Below are 22,882 nucleotides of genomic sequence, written 5' to 3' on the forward strand. Positions count from 1 at the left end.
CAGCCAAAAATTCTTTTCTGAACAGAGACTAATGTCGGTAGATGTAAGACAAACCACAAATGGTGGGAAAATGAGGAAAAAAAGTGCTCCCAAATACCTGTTTTTAGTTCGCTTCACTTGCTGATATTTACTAATTGTTAATTCTTTTCCTCTCTTTTTTTTTTTTTAGTGGCCACAGATGTCTTTAATTCCAAAAACCTGGCCGTTCAGGCACAAAAGAAGATCTTGGGTAAAATGGTGTCCAAATCCATCGCCACCACCTTAATAGACGACACAAGTAGTGAGGTGCTGGATGAGCTCTACAGAGTGACCAGGGAGTACACCCAAAACAAGAAGGAGGCAGAGAAGATCATCAAGAACCTCATCAAGACAGTCATCAAGCTGGCCATTCTTTATAGGAATAATCAGTTTAATCAAGATGAGCTAGCATTGATGGAGAAATTTAAGAAGAAAGTTCATCAGCTTGCTATGACCGTGGTCAGTTTCCATCAGGTGGATTATACCTTTGACCGGAATGTGTTATCCAGGCTGTTAAATGAATGCAGAGAGATGCTGCACCAAATCATTCAGCGCCACCTCACTGCCAAGTCACATGGACGGGTTAATAATGTGTTTGATCATTTTTCAGATTGTGAATTTTTGGCTGCCTTGTATAATCCTTTTGGGAATTTTAAACCCCACTTACAAAAACTATGTGATGGTATCAACAAAATGTTGGATGAAGAGAACATATGAGCACATGAGTTAAGATTGTGACTGATCATGATTTATTTGAAGATGGAGCACTGCTGATTTATGAAGGAAAAAAGAAGAATTTTCTAAAGATTACACATATTTCAGAAAGACTTTACCCAATTCAGTTGTCAGACATAATGATTTATTTGAAGGCTTGTTTTATTTGAAGAAAAGCATATTGCCAAAAATTCTGGTTAAAAGCTTCCTAACGGGTAACAGACCATGGGAGAGATATGTGGTTGGGTAATGCAAATGTAGTTATACAAAGAAAAATACAGATGTCTCCAGACCTGAGGACTTTTTAATAGGGCAGTTGTTGTGTTGGTGGCACATTGGATATTTCTAACATGTACAAAGCTATGTATTTTGATTTACTTTCATTTCTTGCTATGTATATGTACTTTTCTTAAAATGCCAAGAACTTTCTCTTGCTATCATTGCTCCTTTTGAAACAATTCAATTTTCATGTCTACAGCTGACTGTTTTGTTAAGATTGAGTCATCGACATTCAGGATTTAAGTCTGAGGTAGTCAACCCTCAGGAAAAAAAAAATGGCTTATCTGAAATCAGTACTGTGGAAATGAACTATATTAGCTATTATGAATAATGTCCAGTATAAGAATATGCTTCTGGAATTGAGTTCTCCTTTTAAGTACCAATGATACTTAAATTTCTCAGAAATGTAATGGTGTGTCATTGCCTTGAAATGCTTGCTTAGGGCTTCTTTTATGTTATCTTAAAAAGTGCTGGTGAATTTTCCATTTTTTACATCCATTTCACATGTAAGAGACAAAAAAGTCTAGATTGGTCTTGATATTGAGATAATAAAAAGTAAGTAGCATTAAGAAAGGTAACAATCTTCATTCTACAGATGAACTCATTGAAACAATTTAGGGGAATGAGGGGCAAAAGGGGAGAAATACTGCTAAAGAACATGAGCATAAAAATGCGTGCGTTTCAGTGTTTAAGAAGGCTTGATAAAGAATGTCACTTTTTTATTTAACTGATAAGATTTTTGTTATTTTTTACTTTGATAAGTAAACCAAAGAATATTTGTATTTCAAGCAGTTTGTGTGGTGTTTCTATATAATTTTCTGTGTATAAATAATAAAGTAGGCATTTGTTTATTTTGTAAAAAAGAAATGAAAATCTGCTGGCCAGCTATGTCCTCTAGGAAATGACAGACCCAACCACCAGCAATAAACATTTCCATTGTCACTGTGTCTATGATTTTTTTTTTTTTTTTTTTGAGTCTCGCTCTGTTGTTTAGGCTAGAATGCAGTGGCATGATTTTGGCTCACTGCAACCTCTGCCTCCCAGGTTCAAGTGATTCTCCTGCCTCTGCCTCCCAAGTAGCTGGGATTACAGGCATGCACCACCACACCCAGCTAATTTTTGTATTTTTAGTCGAGATGGGGTTTCACCATGTTGCCCAGGCTGGTCTTGAACTCCTGACTTCAAATGATCTGCCTGCCTCGGCCTCCGAAAGTGTTGGGATTACAGGTGTGAGCCACTGTGCCTATGATTTAGTGTACTCTCTTGCCTTAAATTTGCCTGCCTCCCAGAATATTGACATTAAAATAATAGTTTACCAGGAAAGGTTCCACAACTAAAAATTCCAGAAGTTGAGATCTGCTCTAACCCATTTCAGCCTAGAGAGGGTGGTCAGTTTCTCTGACACCCTCATTTGCTTGGCTAAGACAAGCAGCAAAGGTGTAGAGTTTCTTCCTGTTTGATATTAAATCCTGACACTAAGATTTGAACTGAAAGTATCATTCTCACTTCCTAGAGCCAGTAGGTGATCAGTATATGCTGTAACAATAACACAGTGACTACAGAAATGACCCTTCTAGCTTCATAACTTGCTAAGTGGCTTATAAATGGAATTCAGCAGCCTTCCTTGACCAGCTGTTTTCCTCACATGTGAAGGCTGAGAATGTGATGGGGGGTGTGAGCTACTGACTGGATGTGTTCTGTTCTCCAGATCTCAAACAGCAGAGGTATGGGAAACGAAAGCCCTGGGCAGTCCATGGATGCTTCTTGCTCATCTGTAGCTATAGACAGGACCAACCAGAGAGAGAAAACGTACGGAGGGAGAAATCTGGATCTCTCTGGACACACTGGATCATAGGGTTGTGCCAGCAGGCTAGCAATCAAATGTGCATGGGATTGGGGGAGCAATGCTTCATCTCCCACAGAGGGAAGGCAGTGAGGAGTAGACCGAAGGAGGGAATCCTGTTTGCTACCATTTCTCAGCATTTTCTGGAGGGGACCCATCTCCTTACCAGTGCTGTGCCTGAAAAGCATGTCTTGGATCAGGTCCAAAGTCGTGATTAGCAAGTTCATTTCTAATACAATAGGACTCCCCTTGAGCATTTAGGGTGGCAAGGAGCGTGGGAGCTGGGAAGAATCCCCACGTGCTTAGGGTAGATAAATCTGAGCCGAGTTAATACTAATTTGGGGATCCTATGAACCTTTTTATAAAATAGTATCTGTTCACGTTTTGAAAAAAATTGTGTTGTAATTGATTTTATTTTGTGCTGGTGGCTTCTCTGCAAAAATTATGAGTGGATATGATAAGTGGATGATAATACTAATGGACAACTAACGCAGAGTAGTTTGTATTATGTGTCGGGCACATTAACTCATTTAATTCTGCCACAATCTTCACCATCTTATAGATAAGGAAACTAGGGGAATAGAAGTTAAGGAATTTCCTGAGGTCACATGTGCTCGAGGTGTCCCAGCCGGAATATGTATAAAATCTTATTTTCACTTAAAGATGATATGGCTAAAGGCAGTGCTAGGAACATCTTTGGCTCAGAGAAGCGTGGGCAGTATGCTGCTGAAATGGTTCCTCATATAGTGACATTTTAGGCAGTACCTAAGTCAGCACAGGTCTGGCCTGTTCTCTAAAGATCTGTGTAGATGTTGTACAAAGACATTTTTCAAAGTTTTCAACATGACTCCTACTTTGGGGGCATCTTGTGGCTCAGTTTTCTGTCTCGTGGAACTTCACTTCTAGGTGCTCACAATGACTTTTAACGTTGACTTCTGAGGTGCAGTGAGCTGCTCCCCCACAGCTGTCCCTAGCAGTGGTGGGTTCAGAGCATGACAAGGCACTCAATGTGCATTCACCAAGAGAAGCAAGGAAGCAGCAGTTCAGTACTGTGCTCCCTAGAGTAGGCACGGCATCAGTTTCAAACTTCAACATTATTTTCCAGATTTGGAGGCTCAAAATATTTGAGCAAGTTAAGTTAAGAAATAGCCTTTTTCTGATTATTAGGCCTTTCATATACAACTCAAAATTAGTTTAAGAGTAAAGCATGGGGTGGGTGCGGTGGCTTATGCTTGTAAGCCCAGAACTTTGGGAGGCGGAGGTGGGAGGATCACTTGAGGTGAGGAGTTCGAGACCAGCCTGGCCAACGTGGTGAAACCCCACTGCTACTAAAAATACACAAGATTAGCCAGATGTGGTGGCAGGCACCTGTAATCCCAGCTACTTGGGAGGCTAAGGCAGGAGAATCGCTGGAACCTGGGAGGCAGAGGTTGCAGTGAGCTGAGATTGTACCACTGCACTGCAGCCTGGGCAACAAGAACGAAACCCCGTCTCAAAAAAAAAAAAAAAAAAAAAAAGCATGAGTTAAGAACTTTGATCGTACAGAAATATTGCGTTTTAAACTCTTATATAATAGTATGCCATTCACAATTATCTGGAAAGTTCTTTTTCTCCCACCATGTGAATACACACACACACACACACACACACACAATTTTTAAGCCCCCAAAGGCTTAAAATAGTACTTTTTGTGGTCTGTACCGGTCAGTTGGATTTTTACTAAGAATTTTAATTTATCCTTGAGATACTTGATGAGTGTATATAAGCAGTTGCAATTTAGCATACAAAACCTGACAAATGGTAAATAAAAGAATATGTTTATCCAAATGATGAAATATTTGTAGTAAAAAGTGCTATTCAATTGCCAGGAAATTAAAATACTCCAGTAAAATGAATTAAATTAGCATGTTAATAAGAGTGATAATATTTAAAAGTTTTAGTCAATCTTGCATTTCCATACTTGCATTATCTAAACTAGTTGAACTTTTCAGTGTTTTACTTGATATATTGCATTCTTGAGCATTAGGCTTCTAGGTGATTTGTTAAACTCATAGCAGGTTTTAGTACACAGTGCTGTTTATGACAGAAAAAATTTTATCCTACCTCTGAAATAATTGTACTTTCTGTGATTCAGATAAAAACTTTATAGAAACTCCCTAATGAAAATATTGAAGCATTAACCAGAAAATGAGTCAGCTTTTTGTTTCCAAAATGATGCAACAGGAAAACCTTTAACTACTTATAATCCCGTATAGTCACCATCACCACGAAGTATTGAAAATCTGTTTTCTCTTTTACTAAGTGTCTGCACGGTCACTTATGTATACCCAAAGCCAGAAAGATATTTTTATCTCAGGGAAATTCCAGAAATGGAAACATTTTTGTGTAATATTGATTCATTTCTGTCTCACCAAAGATGTGTTTTCCACGTAGCAAAGAACATCAGCCCCACGTTATAGGGAACAAGCGAGTCCCAAATCGTACCATCTGCTGAGCACTGAGAAAGGATATGGACAAGTCAGTCAGCATTCACAATTAAGAGAAAAACATCTGTGCTTTGGAAAATGTTCTTCAAGGATAGAGAATTGTGCCCTATGTCCACCAAATTTGCATGAGATCTTTATAAGATTAGACAGCCAGTGGATAAGGCCCCTTATCTTTCTTCATGGATGGCTGAGGAAATTCTCCGCCTTCCCTGACATCAGCTGCATAACTGTATTTCTGCCTCGTGGAAATAAAGTAGATGATCAGGCACTTGCGGTTTGTTCTTAATACAAGAAAGACAATTTGATTTTTAAAAGTTTTGATTTGTAGAATAATGTAAGACAATATGTTTCTTTCTACTTTGGTTTTTCCATTCAAAAGCTTACAGATGAATTCATTCGTTTAAAACTGCCAGGCTGAGTGCGGTGGCTCATGCCTGTAATCCCAACACTTCGGGAGACTGAGGTGGGCGGATCACCTGAGGTCCAGAGTTCAAGACCAGCCTGACCAACATGGTGAAACCCCATCTCTACTAAAAATACAAAATTAGCCGGGTGCAGTGCCACATGCCTGTAATCCCAGCTACTTGGGAGGCTGAGGCAGGAGAACCACTTGAACCCAGGAGGCAGAGGTTGCAGTGAGCCAAGATTACACCACTGCACTCCAGCCTGGGCAACAAGAGTGAGACTTTGTCTCAAAAAAAAAAAAAGAAACTCTGTCTCGAAGTAAATAAATAAATTTTTAAAAACCAACCTGATGTGAAGTTGAAACACAAGACGCGGAAATAAAAACTCAGAGTATAAATATCTATATTGTTACCATTATCTGGGATAATTGATGATTTATAAGAAGCTGAGGTTTCGTCTTCCTAGAAATGGACTTTTATTAGGCCAGCAAGAATGACCACTTAGCCATTTAAATGATTTGTCAGCATCTTTTGCTGCTCTCTTCTAAGACCATTGGTTTTCACTAAAGGATAAATACCTGCTAAGCAAATTATAAAATACTATAAGACATTTAATCTCCTGGAAGAGGACTTGCTGATAATTGGATCAAAGTTCCAGCATTATTGCTCTTTTCGAATCATATGGACTTAGTGTTCTCATGACCGAGGAGTCACATTTTTAGCTTGCTAAAATATTCACTGGAGAACATGGTGAAATCCACGAGTGGAAACGTTCCATGGTATTTTCAAACGCCACGTGTCAGGAATTTGGCATGCCTTCCTCTGGGAGAGGCACTGGAGTGTGGCCAGATGGAACCCAGCAGGGTACAGAGGGCATTTGTGGGAGCAGTTAGGAAACCAGGACGTCCAGCTTCTGCCTGCCAGGGAGCTCGCTCATGTTGTCTCTGAAATTTGCATAAGAGCAATTACCTCATATTCTAATTTTAAAGATACAATTTTTAAAGACATGGAAGGCTCTGAGACCTCCTGAAGGCTATTCCTATGTGAGGTATTGTTTACGGGTGGCCTTTCACTATTTCCAAATCAGCGATGAAAAGAAGACTGAGTCTAAAATAAATGAAGCAACAGACTTCAGCAGCCTGAGAGAATTTTGTTCAATTCCAGTCTCCTTAAAAAAAAATCGGTTTTTGCTTTCAATTTAGGAAAATTGTTTTGGGTTGCATTGTTGAAAGTAATGATTTCTAGCAGCTACTTATGTATAATCTCTTAACCAATTAAATTCTGAATCTCTTAAATCACTTGATTATTCATGCTGGTTTTAGTTATCCACTGCTGTATTATAAGCCACCCCAAAATTTAGTGGTTTAAAACAACAACCATTTTGTTCCCGCTCACAATTCTGTGCGTTGAATGTGCTCACCTGGGCAGTTCTCTGATTTGGGGTCTATCATGTGGTTGTGGTCAGATCATGGCTGGGACTGGAGTCTTACAAAGATTTGGCTGGGACACCTGGATGACTGGGCCTCTCCTCTCCCCATGGTCTCTACTTACTACTTACTAAGAGCACCCCAAATTGCAAGAGCAGAAGTTTCCAGGCATTCTTAAGGCTGATGCCCAGAACAGGCACAATATCATTTCTGCCTCATTCTACTGGTCAAATCAAATCACAGGCTGTATTGGGGTCACCAAGACACCCTCAGGTTTGATGATTCTCTAGAAGGACTCAGAAATCTCAGAAAAGCTATTGTACTCATAGTTATGGTTTATTATAGCAAAAGGATACAGATGAAAATCAGCAAAGGAAGAAGGCACATAGGGCAGAGGCCAGGAGAGACGAAGGTGCAAGCTTCCAGCTGTCCTCGACCAGTAGAATTTTATAGACAGCACAAAATTTTCCTAGCAATGATGTGTGACAACATGTACAAAATATTGCCAACCAGGGAAGCTCACCCCAGCCTTGGGAGTCCAGGGTTGTTAATGAGGCATGGAGCACTCACATGACTAACCTTAGTTACTCAGGCTCCAGCCCCTCCAGAAGTCAAACTGAAACAGGGAGGCCCAGAGCTCCAGGTGAATATCATAAATCACATTGTTAGCATAAACAATGTGTCATGGCTCAAGCCCTAGGCATACAAAGGCACTCTTATCAAGCACTATATTCCAAGGGCTTGGAGACTGTCTCCCAAGATCTAGTCAAGGGCCAGTCCTTTCTTTGGAATTTGCAGGGTTCGAACTTCCCAATCTTGCTGAGTTAATCCTTTACTGCACACAGGCTCAACCTGGGTTTAGTACAGGAGGAACTACACAAGGGCATGAATTCTGGGATGCATGGCTCTTTGAGGCCATCTTCGAAGACTAGATGCCATATGATTGTTTCCCACCCTCTTGGCTCCAGCAAAAACAGAATTCTTGGGGAGTCTGGAGTTCTTCACATAATAGTTTGTTTTTAATTGGAAACAAATATATAAAATAAGGGTGGACTAACCTGAATGTAGTTAATAACTACATTCCTGTCCATGTGAACATGTGAGTCCTGACAAGTTAATCTACGTAATTCAAGAAATGATGATTAAACAGCTACTATGTGCCTAACGCCAGGCTGTACCCTGGAACTATGCAGTAACACCTAGTTCTTTACTGACTGGTGGGGACACTTACAATGCACAGGTAACTTAATACCGAACGGGGCTTCCCACGATGCAGATGAACCTAAGAAAGGCTTTTTTAGCCCAGCATAGGCTTTCTGATGTAACAATTTTCAAACAGTGTTTTGAGCTTTAAACTGATATTTTAAAAGCAATAAGCTCAAAGTAGCGGCCGATTTCTTTTTCAAAATCAGTGGCAAGTATGTGTGCTGGGGGCGGGTGGGGGAGGTGGTATATGTGAGACAGTATAAGTAGAAGATAAAATGGGCCATTTTTCCTTTATTTTCCTTTATAAATGCATGTTCCATGCATTTCCTTTAGTTCCTGGGCCCAGTGGCTCACACCTGTAATCCCAGCACTTTGGGAAGTGGGCAGGTCACTTGAGCCCAGGAGTTTAAGACCAGCCTGGACAACATGGCAAAACCCTGTCTCTACTAAAAATACAAAAATTAGCGGGGCATGGTGACATGCACCTGTAGTCCCAGCTACTCTGGAGGCGGAAGTGGGAGGATAGTTTGGATGGCTTGAGCCTGGGAGGCGGAGGTTGCTGTTAGCCAAGATCTTGCCACTGTACTCCAGGCTGGGCCACAGAGCGCAACACCTGTCTGGGAAAAAAAAAAAAAAAAAAAAGCTTACAAGTTATTTTTTTTTTTCAAAATAATAATGGTTATAAAAAGCCCCTGGCAAAATGTAGATTATAAATTCTACTGAATGGAAGAATGTAAAATAATATTTTAAACACTTTTTTTGGTTCATTTTGTTAAAAAACAGAGTTTTGCTCTGTTGCCCAGGCTAGAGTGCAGTGGTGTGATCATAGCTCACTGCAGCCTCGGCCTCCCGGGCTCAAACGATCCTCCTGCCTCAGCCTCCTAGGACGTTAGGCACTTGCCACCACACCCAATTAATTTTTAATCAACATTTAAGTAACATCTTATTTAACATTCTGATTCTTGGGACTATCTGAGTAATAGCAACATGGGAGATGCTTTTAACATTTTAAAATCGTTTATCTAGAAATTAGATTGCAGCCTGATTTATGAAGCTGCATAAACTCTGACTTCATATCCTTGTGCCCAGTGAAGCATATGTGTGTCCCTTGACCCCTCAGGCCAGGACACAGAAGTACATGGTTGAAGAGGTTCAGTTTGTGACTAGCCATGCCATAGGCCCAGATCTCAGTGGGTACTGCTCACCATTTGGTTCTGTCTGTTGGCTTGTCCCTATGACTACCCTGAGCTCCCTGAGTCTTGAAGAAGAAACATTAACAAAACAATCCATCCTCTTGCTGGCAAATGACTGGCAATCAAGCTCAGGAACACAGCCCTGAGGACAAAGCGCAGTGTGGGGTTGAGGCTGTGGCTTTCCCTGGGGCTCCAGACAAGACAAGGATCTTTTTCTTTTCACTCCCTTACATTCAGAGAGTTGGAGTGCAAGGTCCTTTTTTGAATGAATTACAAGACTTTCTAACACTTGCTAATTCATGAAAGAATTTTACAAAAATATGGGCTTTTGTAGTTCCAGTTTTAGTTTTAAAAATTGTAATCTCTTGACTAAACTGTGTAATTTCAACCAAGAACAATAATATAAACATGGCTGATTGCTTAAAAACCTACCCTATGTTCAGAATCAATTTGGCTTTTATTAGCAGGTCGAGAAAGATGTCTACTCTACTCTATTCTGCCTTCAAGTAGCCTTTGCCACACTCCCCTCCCCCAGACTCTAAAAGAAACAAACCCACCAACCGGACGTTGGCTCCCCACTCCTTTCAGCTTAAGGAAAGGGAAAGCTACTGTCTTGGTAAGAGACTCTGACTTCCTGGTTACTGTTAGCAAGAATTGAGTTCGGAATTCAAGACAAACTAAGCTTTTCAGTCTTTTTCCAATGGTAATTTCAATACATCTGTTTTCCCTAATAGCTCATCTTTAATTCCTCTGTTTAGTTCTCATAAATCTTCCATTCGTATATAAAGTTTCCTATTTTAGAAAAAGAGCCTGAAGTTCTATGTTGATGTGGTTCTCGTCACATAAATCATCGCAAGCCCAAGGAGCAAGAGATCAACCAGAGTGTCTAAGAAGCATGGTTTGGTTGCTCCTTTCCCTTATCTTTTGTGAGTATTTTCTGTAAATGTACTTCCAAGTAGGACTTGTGTTTTCCACTGACCGTGCTTCACACTAAACTACAGGAGTTGGGGAGTTCCAGCCCTGCCCGAGGGGAGTGGCATTCATAAACGTGTGTGGCTAATTCAAATTGGACAGGGTCAAAGATTCTTCTTTTTCCTTTAAACTTAAAAAAGTTATTATAGACTCATAAGAAGTTGTAAAAATAGTACGAAGAGTCCTGTGTCCCTTCATCCGCTTTGTCAAATGGTGACCTGTAATGTAGTACAATATCAAAACCAGGAATTGACACTGGTATGTTGGTGCTAGACTACAGACTTCCTTAGTTTTCACTGTTGTATAAATGGAACCATACAGTTGTAATCTTTTCAGATTGGCTTTTTTTTACTAAGCATAATACCCTTGAGACATAGCCAGGTTGTTGCATGTATCAGTAATTGATTCCTTTTTATTGCTGAGCAGTATCCTATTGCATGGATGCACTAGAGTTTATTCAACCACTCACCCATTGAAGGATATCTGGGTTGTTTCCAGTATTTTTCTAGCATGAATAAAACTGCTATGAATATTCATCCATAGGTTTTTGTGTGAACATAATTTTTCATTTCTCTGGAATAAATAGCCAAGGGTGTGATTGCTGAATTGTATGGTAAAGACTGCAAAAACTATTTTCCAGAGTGGCTGTGCCATTTTACATTCACACTAGAAATGTATGAGAGACTCTGTTTCTCTACATCCTTGCCATTATTTGACATTACCATTATTGTTTACTTTAGCTGTTCTAATAAGTGGGTAGTGATATTGCATTGTGATTTTAATTATGATATTGAATGTCTTTTCAGGTGCTTATTTTTTTGCGTGCTGTTTTGTTTTAAATTCCATGCATTTCCTTTAGTTCATTCTTTCATTTATTTCCCTCCTCTTCCTCCTTGCCCCCTCTTTCTCTTCTTCCCTTTTCTTCTTTCTCTTCCTCATCTTCTTCTTCCTCTTCCTCTCAGTAAACTTACTGAAGTTCAATATACAGAAAATCATAAGCGTACAGTTCGAGAAATTTCTCACAGAGTAAACATAACTATTAACTAGCAACCACATTAAAAAGCAGAACATTTCTATCACCCAGAAGTCCCCCACCCAAGGTAACTACTATTTTGACTTCTAGAGATTTGTTCTGCCTATTTTTGAACTTCATGTAAATGGAATCATTCAGTATATATATACTCTTTTGTGTCTGGTTTCTTTTACTTATAAGATTCATCAAATATTTTTAAATAACCTCTAAGACTGACTGACTACCAATTTTAGGCAGCAAACACCATGAGGATGCTCTCCCAGGTATGTTGTAAAGTCAAATATAAGAGTGTAATACCACTCTCAGCTCCTTGCTCACTTGAGCCTAATGCCAGCAATCAAGCCAACAATAGTTCTAAGGCCTGATAAACACCAAACGCCAAATACTGTATGGGATGATGATGATCATGGTGCTTATAAGTATATGCTGAAATACAAACAACTGAACCAATCCCCTACTTTGTATAGTTTCTCCTTGGTTCATCTTTTTTTTTTTTTTTTTTTTTTTTTCTTTTTTGAGAAGGAGTTTTGCTTTGTTACCCAGGCTGGAGTGTAGTGGCACAATCTTGGCTCACTGCAATCTCTACCTCCTGGGTGCAAGCATTTCTCCTGCCTTGGCCTCCTGAGTAGCTGGGATTACAGACACATGCCAGCACGCCCAGCTAATTTTTGTATTTTTAGTAGATATGGGGTTTTGCCATGTTGGCCAGGCTTGTCTCAAACTGCTGATCTCAGGTGATCAGCCTGCCTTGGCCTCCCAAAGTGCTGGGATTACAGGTGTGAGCCACCACGCCCACCCTTGGTTCATCTTTTGAAGGGAGGAACAGCTATTTTTAGGGATCACTTTGGTGAAGGGGAAGCAGACATGATCAAGAAGACTAATGAGCTTGAACAGGGATGCTTAAATGCTGTTTCCCTAAGGTACGATGAACCACCACCATCAGCTTTTCAGTATCTCAAGAAGTGACATTTCTGAAATTATTTGCATGACAATAGAGGCCAATTGTCCTGCCTGTTCCACCCTCTGCTTTTTCTCACTAGTAGCAGGGCTGCTGCAAGTTCCAGTCTGAAAACTTTTGTTTACAAGTGAGAGTGTATCAAGGGACGCTTTGACGTGAGTTCTCACAGATGATAAAATTATTCTTTGTTCCAGAAAAGACAAAGTGGCACATCTGAGGTAGTCAAGATAAGTTTTTGCAGAGATCAAATTAGTATCTCTAACTTTAATCCTTTCCTGTCTGCAGTCAATTCCGTTCCTTCTGCAGTTATCTTCTCATAGTGATGTCGGGATTCAGACATCCCCACCCTGAGTACGATGCCATGATCACGAACCATTTGCTGTGTGCTAACATAAGGCTGCTAGATGTTGTATACAGCACCCTCTTACCATGAGATATATGGTGTCATTCCCTTTTACAGAAGAGAAACTAACACTGAGAAGATTACACATTTTCTCAGCAACACAGCTGGTCAGGGGGCAGAGCAAGGGCTTGAACCCAGGACTGACACAGACCCCTGCTCTGTGCACAGCACCCTAGCACTCCCAGAAGGGTGGGTGGCTGAGGTGAATCTTCAGTATTCTCTTCTGGTTCCAGATGTTCAATTGCAGTATGTTCTATGGTGGGTCAAAGAAAGCTGTCTTCAAAAAATTATCTAACTCACCTTAGTCTTGTCTTTACCTATGTGTGGCTTGCTTATGCAAAGATCCAAGTTAGAATGCTGATATTTATTAGATGTAACAACTAGCTTGTTGCTGAAAGTCAGAAAATTGAGATCCTTACTATCATATCCACAGATCAGATGATTGTTAAACATATGAAGGGGGAGCCACTTACTGGCTGTGATCTTGTTCTGGTTTCTTATTTTCTCTGCCCCTCGTTATTTTCACCTGTTAAGGAGAGATCATTGTAGTATTTATATATAATCCACATGAAGCACTTGTGTAAAGAAGAGTGCCTCACATATAGCAAGTGCTCAATTACTGTTACCACCACCACCATCGTTGTCATTGCCCGGAGGATGTGGATGGGGATGTGGAGGTAACGGAGTGGTGCTGAGTGTGGGCTGAAGCCAGGTCTCTGGGCTGAGATACCTCTGTAGTTGGCAGCTGCCTTTCCTAAGGATATTCTAGTGGTTGAATTTTAGATTTGAAATGCACTTTAGCAATCATCCAGACTGTTTTAAAGAAGAAATCTGATGCAGAGGGAATTTATTTAGGAGACTTGCTTAATCCTTGCACCATTTTAAATGAGCAGTTTTTATGTGAAGAAGATTTAGATTTGGAGTGAAATGTTCATCTTCATTTTGAAAATATTCACCAATTATCATTTTTCATGTCTTTCTCTTTACTTTGGAATATAATAACACACTTAACCAAGGGGACCAGGGCTGTGCTAACAGTTTCATCCGACCAAAACCAAATTCCGTCTTAACATTCTGCTGGCTCCCTTCAACAATGACCCTTCTCATTCCCTGATGTCTGGCTGAGATCATGTTCTTGGTGGATTCCAGCTCCAAGAAAGGTGATTGGTCTGTTCCTTCTGCGTCACCCTTGTCTCTGGCTGTAGCTTTGACATAAATTCCATGTACGCAATATGTAAACCAGCCATATGAGCACCATCTGACAAAAGTCTTTCTTCTCTGTTAGCTCTTTAGGACAAGCTGAAACTTATCTGCTTACCTCTGCCCCCTTTGGTCTCTATTATGGCTCCTCTGTTTAAATCTTGGAATTTCCAAGGTCTTGACCAAGTGTGTGGAGGTAGCAGGGTGGGAGGGGAGAGGGATGATTGGCACTTGTTACATTACTCTGGATTCACATATTAATTCTGGCATAATAATTGCTGAGTGAAAGGTGCTTTATATTAACTGATTAAATCCGTACTTTGCCAGAACATAGGACCTCTGCCCATATGTTGGCATTGGTTATCTGGCCTGCATTTTAGGGACTGTCCTGATTTCTAATGTTATATATTATTGTTCTTCTGCATGCCTGGAGTTTAGTTAAAAATATATATGGTTGAATCCCTAGACTTATAGGGCATTTGGATCTATAGTCATGTATGTTTGTGGTTGTTTACATTTACTATTCAGTATCCATTCCTTGTTCTACTGTTCAAAACATCCTGGGGTGGGCATGGTGGCTCACACCTGTAATCCCAGCACTTTGGGAGGCCAAGGGGGCAGATCACCTGAGGTCAGGAGTTCGAGACCAGCCTAGCCAACATGGCGAAACCCTGCCTCTGCTAAAAATACAAAAAATTAGCCAGGCATGGTGGCTCATGTTTGTAGTCCCAGTTACTTGGGAGGCTGAGACACGAGAATCGCTTGAACCCGGGAGGCGGAGGTTGCAGTGAGCCAAGATCTCGCCACTGCACTCCAGCCTGGGTGACAGAGTAAGACTCCGTCTCAAAAAACAAAACAAAACAAACCCATTCCGGTTTTTCTTTAGAGCTATCACCCTTCCCCAACGCTCTATCCATGTGCCAATGTCACCTCTGATAACAGTTGGGCACATGAGCTGGATCTGGCCAATCACAGCATTTCATTCCTTTCACCACAGGGATTGATGCAGGGGTGAACACATAATGGATAGACTGTAGAGCACCTAGGACTTCTGCTTGAGATACATATAAGAAAACACTCTCTCTTCCCACTGGACTTGAAACTATGAGGTTAGGAACCTGGAGATTCTTGCAATCAATGTGCTCCCATGAAAAAACAGCCAGCCTGAGAAAAAAGTGAATCTGGAAGGCAGAGCCAAGAGAGGGGCAGAAAGGGAGTCCTGATGCTGTCCTCTGAGCTGCTCTTTCAGCCACACCTGCAGCCAGCCTTCCCCTGGGCTTCTTCAGGTTCAAGAGACAATACATTTTGGTTCTTTTGTTTCACTTAAGCCTATTTGAGTAAAGTCTCTTTATTGATACAGGATATTGCTAGGTTGATTTTGCATTCCCTGTGGAAAGTTCTTGCTTTTTTTTTTTTTTTTTTTGAGACAGAGTCTCGCTCTGTCGCCCAGGCTGGAGTACAGTGGCACGATCTCGGCTCACTGCAACCTCCACCTCCTGGGTTCAAGCGATTCTCCTGCCTCAGCCTACCGAGTAGCTGGGACTATAGGCACGTGCCACCATGACCAGCTAATTTTTTGTATTTTTAGTAGAGACAGGGTTTCCCCATTTTATCCAGGATGGTCTCGATCTCCTGACCTCGTGGTCTGCCCGCCTTGGCTTCCCAAAGTGCTGGGATTACAGGCGTGAGCCACTGCACCCAGTCAGTTCTTGCTCTTTTAGAGAAGAGAGAGGGAACCTAAGAAACCTCTAGTCCATGAACACTTTGCCTAGAAACAGACTAGAGAGCACCTGGCATGGGCAGTGGAGACGGACCAGCCAGAACTCAGAATTAAAGTCTATCCAGAAGTATCATGAGAATGTATGGATTCAAATCAAGATTTGTTATTTTTAAGCATTTGTGATCATTAATTTAAAATATTTTGTAAGTCTGCAAAGTGTCCTCAGGTTAAGAAAACAAGCCTTGTATTAATAGCTGGAGCTTGGGAAAGTTACTCATTTATTTGAGCCTCTGTTTCTTCATCTGTAAAATGACCTATCTCAAAGGATCATTAAAGGAGATAATTGATATTAAACATTCAGAACAAGATGTCAAGTACATCCTCAATAAATAGAAGCTATCGCTATTAATAATGCTCTAAATTTTTCCTTTTTGGATTGAGTGATGATGGATCATATCACATCTTTGAGTCAGAATTAGAGTCAAATGTAAACTGGGAGCACCAACTCGCTAGAAAGAGGATTCTGGATTTTTGAAACATTCCTTAGATTCACAGATTTGTTTTCTAGCTCTTCTAAGGTGGTAGGCAAAGGGAAACCTAAATACTGGTTGTTTCTTAGTCTCAGTGAGGGGCCAGGTTATCCAATGGTGTTTCCCTTGCTCAGTTAAGTTGTCAGTGACAGACCTTCTCCTGATGGAAGGAAGGAGTCAGGCCAAGTTTTGCCTCTTGGTCACAAATGAAAAAAAAAAACCCAACAAAACACAAATCAAAAAGCCTAATTGAGACTAACCCTCATTTAGTACCATGTGCCTGGCAGTATGCTAAACACTCTTGTGCACTGTCTTGTCTCTGTCACAACTCCAGAAGGTGAGAACTCTTACCATCATTTTACAGAAGAGAAAACTTGGGTCAGAAAGAAAGGACTTGTTGAAGGACACCTGCTGGTAAATGGTGGCAGCTGGTTTGAATCCAGTGCCTGTTCTTGTAGCCACTGTGCACACTGACGTCCCCTTCCCTGTGCACACTCAAGTCTAGCAGGATTTGAGTCCAAAGCCCCTGCTCGTGGCCCCTGTGCTCACAGTAGTTCACTGAAAGTCTGAGCTCATCAGGAGATCTAGTTCCCAGGAGTCAGTACTCCCAGAATCACTCACAAGGCTGACAGTGGGATTTTCCAGGGGCAAGCTGCAGAGGACAGGACAGAACTGCATCACTTTGAGGAAAAGGGATGTTGTTCCTGGGAAGAATTGTTATATTTTCATTATTTCTGCTTGTTGCTCTGCAAGTTTGGGGACGATGTCTCATTAGGAAGGACAATTGCTTCTTTCTGATGAACCACTTAATAATTGATTTGATTATATGTAGTTAATATAAGAACCAGATGGGAGCAAAAGGTAATTACTTTATTGCAATGCTCAAAGAGGGAACTCAATATGTTTCAGGTAAACACCTGAAACAAATGACTTACTTCATGTAAATTTTGTATTGATAACATGCCTTGTACTACGATGAATTAAAGACAGTGCTAATAAACATCTTCTATCACCCCAGGGATTCCTGAAGTTTCCCTTATCACCTTAACAGTTATTATCTGAGATCTGTGTTGTTGTCATCAAATGTTGTCATTGTCTTGGCTTGTCTCCTTGAGATTTGTGTGTATGTGACTTGGTGACTATAGAAATTAATGAAAGATATGGGCAGAGACTGAAACAGTACTGAGCAAATGAATACTAATGATCCTTATCACAGGTCAACCAGCACATGATTGCTGAGAGTCAGGGCCACCACACTTCACAACACCAAGAGCTCCATTTGCTCTCTATTCAAATACACAAGGTTCCATAGTCACCTGGGCTGTGCTAGACTACAGAGAGGGAAGGGCTGAAAAGTGATTGAGGTGGATTTGTCTTGCTTCCTGACAGCCCAGCATCCACTTACTCTACTTAAAATAGCCTCCAACCTTCTCAGGGAGTCTACGCTTCTACTCTCAAGGCTGGGGGTTCCAGTGGAGCTGATTTCCAGCTCTAAGGGTGGCATGTGACCATGTTTGACCATCAAAGCTTCACATTCCCTTGACTGCAGTGATTGGATCAGAGATGGATAATGACAGGCCACCGGGACTTCCTCCTCTTTTGCTGAGACTTCTGAGATGAGTCTTCTTGACACAGAGACTTCTCAGCCAGAGTACAAGGCTGGCCTGCTTCTCAGAAGTCCCTGAGCTTTGGGGCCCAGGTGTAAAATGATATTGATTCAAGCAGGTCTCAAGCTGGGAAGGAACATATACCATGGCAGGAATACAAGTTTATGGTGAGCTGGAGGCACAGATTTCTCCATAATAAATAAGCATTGTGTAGGAGGGACCAGTGTTAAGAGCAGAAGGGTGTTAGGGAGGGGCATCTGGCGGGTTTGAGGAGTCTGGATCTGAACTCTGCTGGAGGATTCCAAGATGCGGAATGTGATGAGTCTCCAAAATTGCAATATGCTCCTCCAAGCTTTCAAGATCTCTGTAGTGAAGAGCCTTGGCTGCACCCTCCTTCCTGTAGCCAGCTGCATGTTTGCACACTGAAGAATTTAGCCATTGCTCTTTCTCCAGTCCTCTCTGCTTTAAGGCATCTTGGTTATTGTTTTTTCCTTCTCCCATCTTTTCTCCCACCATCAAGGTGAGACTTCACTTCATCTCTGGCAGTGTTTAAAAGAAATTTCCATTCAGCACAACTCTTTGAATCCTTTGGAGAAGAGTTTATCAAAGAAATGTAATAGGAAAATAAACTCTGTGGCAAACATTTGGCAATTTATTTTCAGTTTTTTCCCTTGTAGTTTGGCAACCTGTTCTGATGAATCCATGTGCATGAATAAGCGACAGCCAGGATTCAAGGAATTGTATTTCTATTGTCTCAGTCATAACTTATCTCCCATTGTGTTGACTCCTCCCTGTATTTTTTGCCTGACATACTGCCTGCAGCTTCTGAGTAATTCTGCTGAGGGACTAAATATCTTACTCAGCTCTATTCATCACTCCTTTGTTCAAGCTGAACTAATAGCAACAACAAAAAACAAATCCCCAAACAACCGTATGGTAATTTGGTATATAACATGCCACCATTTATGGGGCTGAGTTTTAGAACGTCCCCCCACCCCCTACCCCCCGCCCGGTGCCAAGGACTCAGGAATGATGGGGAGTGTAATTGAGGGATTTCCATTTATGTCATTCCTAGGAAAGTATGTTTCCCCAGGCTCTCAATCTGATTTTTCTCCTCTTACTGAGTGCTTACTGTAGCCTTTACAAGGGATTCATTGGTCTGTATATCATCTAATTGCTTCAGTGCCATGATAAATCAATTTAAGAAGCGATTGAAGCGTTCAACATAACAAGTCTTCCCATAAACCAGCTATTTGGGCTCTGGTGGCAAATCGGAGAGCAGAGACAGGCACCGGAGGGTGCCCTCAGCACGGAGACAGGAGCCCACTGCTGGTAGTTTGGTATTGGAAAGTGTTCCTTGGGGAAGTCAGCCAGGACAGCAGCGGGAGAAGAAGCTGCTCCGGGCTAACTTTGCCTCATCGTAACAGCGAGATCTGTAGATACTAGCTCTGCCTTTGGTCAGAAGAAAGTCTCTGAATTATTAGAAGGAAAAAGAGAGTGGGGGAAATAGAAACAACAAAAGTTCTCTATTTCCTCGGGAATGGTAGAGCCTAGCCTTGAAGACGCTAATGTTTCTGTGGCTCTTTACTCCCTCTTGTGGCCATATGGTGCCAGTGTTTTCTATCACAGACCATGTTTGCATCAATCACTCTGTTGTTTAACGTGAGAATATAATTAGTTTGGATGTAATAATCTAAGGACACAAAGCAAAGAGGGTCTATGTGCATCTGGACACACTTCTCAGAGAGTTAAAGAATTCAGTCGTAAAAAGTCGTAAATTAGCACGTAGATCCATTGTTCCTGCCAATATATAGCTTCACAAACACCTTTTTCACCAAATATTGGACTAGTACAGGGATTATACGACTTGGGAAGGAAAGAAAGCAAAAGAATTTTACTCTTTTACTTCAGCTGAGGGTAAATAATATAAAATTTCCCTACAAGAATTAAAACGTAGGATCTGAATTCATACATACATCTCAGCGATGTAATGTATGTTTGTAATATTTTTGGAATTATTTTACTTATTGCATATTGTATTCTCTGTAACATGCTCTCCTCTGCAGCACAGGCAGGAGTGGAACAAATGACAATTTAATTGAAAGGTCCCTTTTTTGAAAACTTGAATAGGATGGGCAGCTCTCCAAGAAAATGTACTAGAAATAGATTCTGTTTTTCAAGGAAAATGAGCTGGCAGCAATTTTTAAAGTGCTATGCATTGCTTTAGGATTATTCTCAATAGGGCCAAGTACATCTGCAGTGTGGCTTAAAGTTTTCAGTACTTTGGTAAATTATGCGACATTAAAACAAAAATACTATACTTTTTTCACAGGTATGGACTCTGTACAGGGCATTCTTTAACTGGCCTGGCTGCTTGGGCGTGGTCAAGGTACTGTAAACATTTGTCTTTCCTGGTAGGGTGGGCAGCCTCTACAATTGTCCCCACAATCTTTCCCTCTTGGTATCCATGCCCTTGTACAATCTCTCCCCTTTGAGCATGGGGTGGACTTATTGACTTGCTTCAAATGAAGAGAATATTGCAAAAGTTATGGGATATCATTTCCTTAGGTTACAAAAAGACTATGGCTTGCCAAAAATGGAAGCAACCAAGATGTCCTTCTACTGATGTGGCACATCCACAGAATGGATCATTATTCAACACTTAAAAAAAAAAGAGCTTCATCTTCGCTGTTAAAATTGACAGTATTGTGGATCATAAAGCCAGTTTCCCTATATTTAAAAGGCTTGAAATCAGGGAATGTTCTTTGATGATAATGCATTACACTCAAAATCATTAATAAAAAGATTACTAGGAAATTTCCTTGCTTGATATTAGGAAGCAAACTTGTAAATAGCTCACACATCAAGAAAGAAATGTTAGAAGCTGGAAACCATCATTCTCAGCTGCTGCGGGAAGTCAGGGACCCCGAATGGAGGGACTGGCTGGAGCTGCGGCAGAGGAACATAAGTTGTGAAGATTTCATGGACATTTATCAGTTCCCAAATAATACTTTTATAATTTCTTATGCTTGTCTTACTTTAATCTCTTAATCTTGTTATCTTTGTAAGCTGAGGATGTACGTCACCTCAGGACCACTGTGATAATTGTGTTAACTGTACAAATCGATTGTAAAACGTGTGTTTGAACAATATGAAATCAGCACACTTTGAAAAAGAGCAGAATAACAGCGATTTTTAGGGAACAAAGGAAGACAACCATAAGGTCTGACTGCCTGCAGGGTCGGGCAAAAAGAGCCATATTTTTCTTCTTGCAGAGAGCCTATAAACGGACATGCAAGTAGGGAAGATATCACTAAATTCTTTTCCTAGCAAGGAATATTAATATTATTAATACCCTGGGAAAGGAATGCATTCCTGGGGGGAGGTTTATAAACGGCTGCTCTGGGAATGTCTGTCTTATGTGGTTGAGATAAGGACTGAGATATGCCCTGGTCTCCTTCAGTACCCTCAGGCTTACTAGGGTGGGGAAAAACCCTGCCCTGGTAAATTTGTGGTCAGACCAGTTCTCTGCTCTCGAACCCTCTTTTCTGTTCTTTAAGATGTTTATTAAAACAATACGTGCACTGCTGAACATAGACCCTTATCAGTAGTTCTGCTTTTGCCTTTTGCCTTGTGATCTTTGTTCTGCTTTTTGCCCTTTGAAGCATGTGATCTACTCCCTGTTCTTACACCCCCTCCCCTTTCGAAACGCTTAATAAAAAACTTGCTGGTTTGAGGCTCAGTTGGGCATCACGGTCCTACCGATATGTGACGTCACCCCCAGGGACCCAGCTATAAAATTCCTCTCTTTGTACTCTTTCTCTTTATTTCTCAGCCAGCTGACACTTATGGAAAATAGAAAGAAACTACATTGAAATATTGGGGGCAGATTCCCCCGATACTCAGCAAACTATCACGAGGACAGAAAACCGAACACCATGTGTTCTCACTCATAGGTGGGAATTGAACAATGAGATCACTTGGACACATGGTGGGGAACATCACACACCGGGGCCTGTTGTGGGGTGCGGAACTGGGGAAGGGATAGCATTAGAAGAAATACCTAACATAAACGATGAGTTAATGGGTGCAGCAAACCAACATGGCACATGTGTACCTATGTATCAAACCTGCATGTTGTGCACATGTACCCTAGAACTTAAAGTATAATAATAATTTTCTAAAAAAAAAACTGCCAAAGGGGGAAAAAAAGAAGTTAGAGAACATTTTAAACTGGAAAACTTCAAAGTTTTCTTTGGAAACCAGGAGGGAATGATAGAAGGAAAGGAGAAGCAAGGTTGTGGATTGTAATGGTGGATCATAGAATCTAAGCAAGAGGAGAAAGTAAGACAGAAAAGAGGCTGGCATTAGGAGAGCCAATGGAGTCAATGCACTTCCATGAAAAGGCATGGAAGAAACTGAAATTCATATTACTAAGTGAAGAAAGCCCATCTGAAAAAGGCAACATACTGTATGATTTTAACTATATGACATTCTGGAAAGGAAAACCTATGGATAAAATAAAAAGATCAATGGTTGTCAGGGGCTTGGGGAGAGGGAGGAATGAATAGGCAAAGAAGAATTTTAGGGCAATGAAAAAGTTTGTGTGATACTATAATGATGGATATATGTCATTACACATTTGTCAAAACCCATAGAATGTACACTGATGGGTTTCTGGGTTTCTGGGTTTACATTAGGGGTTATGTAAACCACAGACTTTGAGTGATAATGATGTGCCAGTGTAGGTTCACTGATTGTAACAAATGTACCCCTCTGATAGGGTGTTGATAGTGGGGGAATTTATGTGTGTGTTGGGGGAACAGAGTGTATATGGGAACTCTGTACTTTCTGCTCAATTTTGCTATGAACCTAAAACTGCTCTAAAA

At 40.9% G+C, this 22,882-nt stretch overlaps 1 protein-coding gene across 10 annotated transcripts in view, besides 9 other annotated features; it reads left to right on the top strand.

Moving 5' to 3' along the window:
- Positions 1-7,042, top strand: part of TNFAIP8 (TNF alpha induced protein 8) — a 130,930-nt gene extending 123,888 nt beyond the window's left edge. For 9 of the 10 annotated variants that reach the window (NM_001286817.2, NM_001286815.2, NM_001077654.3 and 6 more), the window contains one exon: positions 170-7,042. In NM_001286817.2, the coding sequence (NP_001273746.1) occupies positions 235-735 (501 nt within the window). In that variant the 5' untranslated portion in view covers positions 170-234 and the 3' untranslated portion in view covers positions 736-7,042. The remainder of the gene's footprint in view (positions 1-169) is intronic. The other variant, NM_001286814.1, reaches the window with a different exon arrangement.
- Positions 2,391-2,440: an enhancer, noted in NCBI's record as "active region_22984". NCBI's record gives its function as "activates an Ori minimal core promoter by ATAC-STARR-seq in GM12878 lymphoblastoid cells {active_cell/tissue: GM12878}" and the evidence as "EXISTENCE:reporter gene assay evidence [ECO:0000049][PMID:35858748]".
- Positions 4,875-4,924: an enhancer, noted in NCBI's record as "active region_22985". NCBI's record gives its function as "activates an Ori minimal core promoter by ATAC-STARR-seq in GM12878 lymphoblastoid cells {active_cell/tissue: GM12878}" and the evidence as "EXISTENCE:reporter gene assay evidence [ECO:0000049][PMID:35858748]".
- Positions 5,205-5,254: an enhancer, noted in NCBI's record as "active region_22986". NCBI's record gives its function as "activates an Ori minimal core promoter by ATAC-STARR-seq in GM12878 lymphoblastoid cells {active_cell/tissue: GM12878}" and the evidence as "EXISTENCE:reporter gene assay evidence [ECO:0000049][PMID:35858748]".
- Positions 9,375-9,943: an enhancer, noted in NCBI's record as "OCT4-NANOG hESC enhancer chr5:118737716-118738284 (GRCh37/hg19 assembly coordinates)". NCBI's record gives its function as "activates a minimal SCP1, AML or CMV promoter by ChIP-STARR-seq in naive H9 embryonic stem cells {active_cell/tissue: H9 hESC(naive)}" and the evidence as "EXISTENCE:reporter gene assay evidence [ECO:0000049][PMID:30033119]".
- Positions 11,751-12,251: an enhancer, noted in NCBI's record as "H3K4me1 hESC enhancer chr5:118740092-118740592 (GRCh37/hg19 assembly coordinates)". NCBI's record gives its function as "activates a minimal SCP1, AML or CMV promoter by ChIP-STARR-seq in primed H9 embryonic stem cells {active_cell/tissue: H9 hESC(primed)}" and the evidence as "EXISTENCE:reporter gene assay evidence [ECO:0000049][PMID:30033119]".
- Positions 17,666-17,935: an enhancer, noted in NCBI's record as "active region_22987". NCBI's record gives its function as "activates an Ori minimal core promoter by ATAC-STARR-seq in GM12878 lymphoblastoid cells {active_cell/tissue: GM12878}" and the evidence as "EXISTENCE:reporter gene assay evidence [ECO:0000049][PMID:35858748]".
- Positions 19,322-19,451: an enhancer, noted in NCBI's record as "active region_22988". NCBI's record gives its function as "activates an Ori minimal core promoter by ATAC-STARR-seq in GM12878 lymphoblastoid cells {active_cell/tissue: GM12878}" and the evidence as "EXISTENCE:reporter gene assay evidence [ECO:0000049][PMID:35858748]".
- Positions 19,322-19,702: a biological region, named in NCBI's record as "Sharpr-MPRA regulatory region 10011".
- Positions 19,408-19,702: a silencer, noted in NCBI's record as "tiled region #10011; HepG2 Repressive DNase matched - State 4:PromP". NCBI's record gives its function as "represses a minimal TATA promoter and a strong SV40 promoter by Sharpr-MPRA in HepG2 cells {active_cell/tissue: HepG2}" and the evidence as "EXISTENCE:reporter gene assay evidence [ECO:0000049][PMID:27701403]".

This window comes from Homo sapiens, chromosome 5 (assembly GCF_000001405.40).
Source record: "Homo sapiens chromosome 5, GRCh38.p14 Primary Assembly".
In the NCBI taxonomy this organism is placed as follows: domain Eukaryota; kingdom Metazoa; phylum Chordata; class Mammalia; order Primates; family Hominidae; genus Homo; species Homo sapiens.